Below are 8,538 nucleotides of genomic sequence, written 5' to 3' on the forward strand. Positions count from 1 at the left end.
TGGCCTCAAGTGATCCACCCGCCTTGGCCTCCCAAAGTGCTAGGATTACAGGCATGAGCAACCACACCCAGCCTAGTGCCTCTGTTTAAGGCCAAATCTTCTATTTGTTTCTCAGGAACCTAGCGCTTGTGGTTGTCTCTCATCTATTCATGCATCATCTATATTTCCCACTCTCCTGGCTCACTCCCTTAATATCACCCATCTTTGTTTGGGGGGGGCACAGTTGGGGTATAGGGTCTCACTCTGTCACCCAGGCTGGAGTGCAGTAGCACCATCACGGCTCACTGTAGCCTTGACCTCTTGGGCTCAAGCAATCCTCCCACCTCAGCCTCCCAAACTGTTGGAATTACAGGCATGAGCCACGGTGCTTGGCCCAATATCACCCATCAAGCCCTCTTGATCTTATGTCCCTCTGCAGCTTGCCGCTCTGTTTTTTTTTTTTGTACTGCCCCCTGCTTCCTGCAAGACCTCAAATCCACTGTGTCTACTTCTTGCCTTATTTTTATTCTACTCTAATCAGCTTTTGTCATCCCAACGAAGTGGCTCCTATAAGTCACAGTCGGCCGGGCATGGTGGCTCATGCCTGTAATCCCAGCACTTTGAGAGGCCAAGGCGGGTGGGTCATGAGGTCAGGAGATCAAGAACATCCTGGCCAACATGGTGAAACCCTGTCTGTACTGAAAATACAAAAAATTAGCCGGGTGTGGTGGCTGGCACCTGTAATCCCAGCTACTCAGGAGGCTGAGGCAGGAGAATCACTTGAACCCGGGAGGCGGAGGTTGCGGTGAGTTGAGATCATGCCACTGCACTCCAGCCTGGCAACAGAGTGAGATTCTGTCTCAAAAAAATAAAAATAAAAAAAAGTCACAGTCACCTATTCTTTGTCGTTTTACTAGGCCCTTCAGCAGTACTGTACACTGAGTACATCCTCATGGACATGCTTTAGTCCCTAGGTTTCCATGTGCGCACACTTCTTGGTTCTCCTCCACTTTGGCCTCTCATGCCTGGCCCTCTTTCTCCTCACAACCCAAATATTAGACAATATATCACAAACAAATCCCGAAGTGCTGGGATTACAGGCATGAGCCACTGTGCCCGGCCTACTTAAGTATTTTCATAGATTATCTAATGTTCAAATAATGCAATATTCCTCAGCATCTGAACAAATGCATGGAATGGATGGTGGATAGCAAGAGATACTTGTACTTTCTCTCTGCCTTTCCCTGCCTTCTCCAGGGTCCCCCCACATCTCATTAAGTGGCATCTTCTTTCACCTAGTCACTCAGGTCAAAGCTGGGAAGTCATTCCTTTTTTCTTTCTCTCATACCACTTGTCATTGAATTTCCTAAGTTCTATCTCCACACCTGCCCACTGCATCATCACCACTGCTAAAATCCTGAGCCAAATAATTAACTTTTTTTTTTTTTTTTTTTTTTGAGACAGAGTTTTGCTCTTGTTGCCCAGACTGGAGTGCAATGGTGCGATCTCGGCTCACTGCAACCTCTGCCTCCTGGGTTCAAGCAATTCTCCTGCCTCAGCCTCCTGAGTAGCTGGGATTACAGGCGTGTGCCACCACGCCCGGCTAATTTTTGCATTGTTAGTAGAGACGGGGTTTTGCCATGTTGGCCAGGCTGGTCTCGAACTCCTGACCTCAGGTAATCTGCCCGCCTTGGCCCCTCAAAGTGCTGGGATTACAGATGTGAGCCACAATGCCCAGCTGAGCCAAGTTAACTTCTTTCCTCATCTGAACTACTGGAACAGCCTCCTTACCTGGTCTCCCTGTCTCCATCATGACTTACTATACAAGACTCCTGCCAACCTTCCCTCATCCACTGTGCTCCTATCATACCAGCCGCCTTTCAATCCTTAACTGCGCCAAGTTCATCCTTTCTGCTGGAACCTCCTTTCTTCACATGGCTGTCTCCTCCTCATTCAGGACTCAACTCAAGTGTCACTTCTCCTGAGAGGCTCTCCCTGACATCCTTAACTAACTACTCTAATTATAAAGTTCCAAGGAAGCGCTACAGAAAAGACATCCGTCCCCTGACAGGGCTCTGGGCTAGTCTCTTCCCTATGGGAGGTGGGGCAGGAGCTGCTGAGGCTCATGATTCTTCTTTGGCCACCTCACTCCCAGCTGATGAGGGACAGGTCAAGGACAGCCTGTGCTTCCACTGGCTCCTGGTCACTACATGTAGCGCACTCCAGGTAGACACGTTCTTCCTGGCTCCCATATTATGAGCTCATCAGACAGCCTCCCCTGCTGTCTTCCTGCCTTGAAAGGATCTAACATGAAAGCACTTTTACTTTCTAAAAGTAAAATGCTCTCTATTCATGGGCAAGAGATTACCACCTCACTGACTGGGACCTTCAGCTAATGCCTTTCTTTCTGGGCATTTCTTTCTTTGCTATGAAGTGAGAAGAACCATACTTGCTGTATACAATTAAGAAGTGATCTATTCAAAGAGCCACTTGATGACTGAGTGCAATGGCTCACACCTGTAATCCCAGCACTTTGGGAGGCCGAGGCAGTGGATTACTTGAGGTCAGGAGTTCAAGACCAGCCTGGCCAGCATGGTGAAACCTTGTCTCTACTAAAAATACAAAAATTAGCTGGGCATGGTGGCAGGCGCCTGTAGTCCCAGCTACATGGGAGGCCAAGGCAGGAGAATCGCTTGAACCCAGGAGGTGGAGGTTGCAGTGAGCTGAGATTGCACCACTGCACTCCAGTGTGGGCAATAGAGTGAGACTCTGTCTCACAAAAAATAAAAGAGTTGATGATTCCATGGTTCCTATGGACATATAATAGTTGACTGTCACAAAAAATATAACTCTGGCCGGGCGCAGTGGCTCACACCTGTAATCCCAGCACTTTGGGAGGCCAAGGAGGGCAGATCACCTGAGGTCGGGAGTTCAAGACCAGCCTGATCAACATGGAGAAACCCCGTCTCTACTAAAAATTCAAAATTAGCCAGGCATGGTGGCGCATGCCTGTAATCCCAGCTACTCGGAAGGCTGAGGCAGGAGAATCACTTGAACCCGGGAGGCAAAGGTTGCAGTGAGCCGAGATCGCACCATTGCACTCCAGCCTGGGCAACAAGAGCGAAACTCCGTCTCAAAACAAAAGAAACAAACAAACAAAAAACCAAAACCCTGCCGCAATCCTTCCACTACTCTCCCATGGGAGGAAGCTCAGAGCCACCCTGACCGCTCTTCATTTCACCACCTCTCTCCATTTGTCAGTGACCTGAGGCTGCCTCATTGTTTCTGAGCACTGTTCATATCAGCTGTTCTTCCACGCTTCCTTCAGCCTAGACCCCAGAAACAGCTGCCCCTCTGCCTTCATTCTCTCACCCTTCTGTAACAGATATCCCCTTCCACTCCTTCCTTCCTAACAGAACCCCAATTTGGTTCAGGATGGCAATGTGCCTCTCTAAGAATAGTTGGCTCCTCAGCCTTGTACTCCAGGAGAGACTTGCCTCCCAGTTCCGGTCAATGTAGTAATGGGAGTAGGTGGGAGTATTAGGTGGAAGTCCATGGGGCGGGTGCCCCTTCCCAAGCAAAGCCTCACAAGAGGCTTTTGGCTCTGCTCTTTTTTCTCTCCTAGAACTTGGAGCGTGATGCCCAGAAGTGTGTGAACTGGTCTGTGACCACAAAGATGAGAACCGCATGCTGAGATTGGTGGAATGGAGACTTCAGTGAGCCTACATGCAGATGACATGGTGACACCCGTGCCCAGCCTGAGCTGTTTTCTTCTGGCCCTCTTATTACATGAGAAAAATAAACACCTATGCACCTTGGCCTCATCCCCTCGGCTGTCTATTCTTGCAACTTTGGGGCAGGTTTAAATTTTTTTCCAAATTAAAAATTGGGGCCAGGTGCAGTGGCTCATGCCTGTAATCCCAGCACTTTGGGAGGCTGAGGCAGGCGGATCGCTTGAGCCCAGGAGTTACCAATGAAATGGAGTGATGTCTGGGATTTGCTTCCAAATAGAGAGGAAGTGGGTCAGGGTATAGATGAAACAGGATTGATCACAGTTGACAGTTGTTGGAGTTGGGTAATTGGTAAGTCTTTAAAAAAATATTCTCTTTAGATAAATTCCCAAGAATGCTGTGCGAACACTTATGAGCTTGATATTGTGTTATGAATTGATTCTTTTTTTTTTTTTTTTTTTGGAGAGACAGAGTCTTGCTCTGTTGCCCAGGCTGGAGTGCAGTGGCTCAATCTTGGCTCACTACAACCTCCGCCTCTGGGGTTCAAGCGATTCTCCTGCCTCAGCTTCCCAAGTAGCTGTGACTACAGGTGTGTGCCACCATGCCCAGCTAATTTTTGTATTTTTTAGTAGAGATGGGGTTTCACTACATGTTGGTCAGGCTGGTCTTGAACTCCTGACCTCAGGTGATCCACCTGCTTTGGCCTCCCAAAGTGCTGGGATTACAGGTGTAAGCCACCGTGACCAGCCTTTTTTTTTTTTTTTTTTTTTTTTTGACACAGAGTCTTGCTCTGTCACCCAAGCTGGAGTGCACTGGCATGATCTTGGCTCACTGCAACCTTTACCTCCTGGGTTCAAGCAATCTTTTCCCCTCAGCCTCCCAAGTAGCTGGGACTATAAGCCCCCACCACCATGCCTGGCTAATTTTTGTATTTTTTGTGGAGGCATGTTCTCACTATGTTGCCCAGGCTGGTCTCAAACTTCTGGGCTCAAGGGATCCTCCCACCTTTGCCTCCCAAAGTGTTGGGATTACAGGCCTGAGCCACCTGGCCCGGCCTGGATCAGTTCTTCACACTGCTAATGGTGCATAATTGCTATCTGCTTAAACCCCATGGTTTGTGGTTCCTGAAACACATTTGTCTTCTCCTAATGTAAATGATTTGAAAAGGAGGTAAAAGGTATTCTGGTTCCAGCCCCCTGCATGGGCTAAAAGGACACAAAAGGAAAAGGATGATGTTAGTAAGAAAAGGATTACGCAGCTCAAAAAAGCTGAGCCCAGGCTCCCTTGACTTCCTGCATGGCCCCTGTGCCCTCATCAACACCCCAAAATGCTAACTCCAGTTGGCTCCACTGTCCAAGCTCCCCTCCGATGCCTGCTTCTCCTAAACTGCCTGCCGCCACCCTGGTTGAGGCCCCCATCGATGCCCTCACCTTAATTGCTGCAGCAGCCTCAGAATTGGTCCAGCTGTCCTGAGGGCTCTCACATTCCATCCGTTCTCCACCCAGAAGTCAGAGCCACCTCCCCAAAGAGCAAATCAGATATATTATTCTTCCGCTAAAATAAACCCTGCAGTGTCAGTTTTTTAAAAATGCAGGAAAAAGGCATATCACATAATTTAATTTTTTTTTTTTTTGAGACGGAGTCTCCCTCTGTTGCCAGGCTGGAGTGCAGTGGCATGATCTCGGCTCACTGCAACCTCTGCCTCCAGGGTTCAAGCAATTCTCCTGCCTCAGTCTCCTGAGTAGCTGGGACTACAGGCGTGCGCCAACACGCTTGGCTAATTTTTGTATTTTTAGTAAAGACGGGATTTCACCATATTGCCCAGGCTGGTCTTGAACTCCTGAGTTCAGGCAATCCGCCCACCTCGGCCTCTCAAAGTACTCGGATTACAGGCGTGAGCCACCACGCCCGGCCTAAAAAAATTTTTTTGGAGGGATCAGAGTCTGGTTCTGTCGCCCAGGCTGGAGTGCAGTGGTGTGATCTCAGCTCACTGCAGCCTCGATCACCTAGGCTCAAGTGACCCTCCCACCTCAGCTTTCCAAGTAGCTGGGACTACCGGTGTGCACCACCACATCCTGCTAATTTTTTTATTTTTATTTTTAGTATTAATAGAAACTAGGTCTTGCTGTGTTGCCCAGGCTAGTTTTGAACTCCTGGGCTCAAGTGATCCTCCCGCCTCAGCCTCCCAAAGTGCTGGGATTACAGGCATCAGCCACAGTGCCAGGCCGATCATATAACTTATAACACAAATAGCAGTCTATTAATAACTGTCTCCCAGGCCAAGAAACAGCTTTGCCAGCATCCCAGAGGCCCATCAGAGAGACTTTCCTGGCTGGACGCGGTGGCTAACACCTGTAATCCCACCACTTGGGGAGGCTGAGGCAGGTGGATCATTTGAGGTCAGGAGTTCGAGACCAGCATGGGCAACATGGTGAAACCCTATCTCTGCTAAAAATACAAAAATTAGCTGGGTGTTGTGGTGCACGCCTGTAATCCCAGCTACTTGGGAGGCTGAGGCAGGAGAACCACCTGAACCTGGGAGACAGAGGTTGCAGTGAGCTGAGATCAGGCCACTGCATTCCAGCCTGGGCTACAGAGAGAGACTCCATCTCAAAAAAAAAAAAAAAAAAATACTCTTTTCTAATCTTAACCCCTTCTTCCTAGGGGCAGCCACACTCCTTCCTTGCTTTATAGTTTAATCACCCACATACACAGCCCTAAATTTTGCTTTGCCTGTTTTTGAGCTTTCTTTGTTGTATAATATTCCATTTCATGAACACCACAATTTATTTGTTTGTTTGTTTGTTTGTTTTTGAGACAGAGTCTTGCTCTGTCACCCAGGCTGGAGTACAATGGCACAATCTCAGCTCACTGCAACCTCCGCCTCCTGGATTCAAGCAATTCTCCTGCCTCAGCCTCCCGGGTAGCTGCGATTACAGGCGCCTGCCACCACGCCCGGCTAATTTTTGTATTTTTAGTAGAGACAGGGTTTCATCCTGTTGGCCAGGCAGTTCTCAAACTCCTGACCTCAGGAGATCCGCCCACCTCGGCCTCCCAAAGTGCTGGGATTACAGGCGTGAGCCACCGTGGCCGGCCAACCACAATACATTTAATCCATTTTATTATTGCTGGACATTTGAGTTGTTTCCAATATTTTGCTATTGAGAACAATTGCAAAGCAAGATTGGAGGTTACAGAATTTTCAAACAAAAGTAGAGAAGGAATGGTATAATGAACCCCCATAGCGCTGTCTGCAGCTTCAACAATTAACACTGCAATGCAATTGTTTGTAATGAGGGATGCGCATCAGAATCTCTGGAGGTGCCTTTGCCAAACACACAGCAGGCTCCAGTTCAATCTCTGGAGATTCTCAGTTGTTGGCTTGGCTTGTGGGTTGGGAATGTGTAGTTTGCAAGCATTCCCCATATGACTTTGGGGCACACCTCTGGGTAGGAATCACTGTTTCAGTGGCTCCTTGTTGCCCTTATTCTTTAATGTGACTGATATGGCCTGGCTCCTGCTTTAGCTTTCCTACTTTTTTGCTTGCCTTTTATTTATTTATTTATTTATTTATTTATTTATTTATTTATTTGAGACAGAGTCTAGCTCTGTCACCCAGGCTGGAGTGCAGTGGCACGATCTCAGCTCACTGCAACCTCCACCTCCTGGGATCAAGAGATTCTCCTGCCTCTAAGCGATTCTCCTGCCTCAGCCTCCCGAGTAGCTGGGACTACAGGTGTGCGCCACTACGCCCAGATAATTTTTGTATTTTCAGCAGACATGAGGTTTCACCATGTTGACCAGGCTGGTCTTGAACTCCTGACCTCAGGTGATCCGCCTGCCTCAGCCTCCCAAAGTGCTAGGATTAAAGACGTGAGCCACCGCACCTGGCCAATTTATTTATTTATTTATTAGAGGCAGAGTCTTGCCATATTGCCCAGGCTGGTCTCAAACTCCTGGGCTCAAGCAATGATCTCACCTTGGCTTTTATTCCTAAAGTCAGATTACAGGTGTGAGCCACCGTGCCCAGCCCCTACTTTTTTTTTAAACTACTCCCTCCTTTACACTCTCACTCTAGCCACACTAAGCCACGTTTATTCTTCTGATGTTTTTCTCGCTTCCTGGCTTTTGCACATGCAGTTTCTTTCTTTCTTTTTTTTCTTTTTTTTTTTTTTTGGAGGCAGAGTCTCGCTCTGTCACCCAGGCTGGAGTGCAGTGGTGGAATCTCAGCTCACTGCAACCTCCGCCTCCCAGGTTCAAGTGATTCTTGTGCCTCAGCCTCCTGAATAGCTGGGATTACAGGCATGAGCTACCACACCCGGCTAATTTTTGTAGTTGTAGTAGAGATGGGGTTTCACCATGTTGGCCAGGCTGGTCTTGAACTCCTGATCTCAGGTGATCTGCCCACCTGGGCCTCCCAAAGTGCTGGGATTACAGGCATGAGCCACCATGCCCGGCCTGCACATGCAATTTCTGTCAAAGACATGCTTTCTTTTCCCTTTCTTCTGCCTATTTTCTCCTTTAAATCTCTTTATAGTGGCTGGATCAGTCAGGGGCCTGAGAGAAAACAGAAGCACACCTGGCAAGATTTTTTTTTTTACTTGTATTTTTTAAAGTTTACATAGAGTAAAACTGAATTTTTGAGGCTGTACAGTTCTGATTTTAACACATACACAGACTGTGTAATCACCACCACAGTCAGGACACAGAGCATCTCCATCATCTCTAAAATCTCCCTCTTGCTGTTTCTATCACACCCTCCCCTGACAACCAATGATCTGTTCTCCATCACTGTGGTTTTGCCTTTTCCAGAGTATCATATAAATGG

At 48.0% G+C, this 8,538-nt stretch overlaps 1 protein-coding gene across 1 annotated transcript in view; it reads left to right on the top strand.

Moving 5' to 3' along the window:
- DDX3X (DEAD-box helicase 3 X-linked) overlaps positions 1 to 3,803 on the top strand; it is a 31,165-nt gene extending 27,362 nt beyond the window's left edge. The window contains exon 19 of the transcript NR_126093.1: positions 3,605 to 3,803. The gene's annotated coding sequence lies outside the window, so the exon portion shown is untranslated. The remainder of the gene's footprint in view (positions 1 to 3,604) is intronic.

This window comes from Homo sapiens, chromosome X, assembly GCF_000001405.40.
Source record: "Homo sapiens chromosome X, GRCh38.p14 Primary Assembly".
In the NCBI taxonomy this organism is placed as follows: domain Eukaryota; kingdom Metazoa; phylum Chordata; class Mammalia; order Primates; family Hominidae; genus Homo; species Homo sapiens.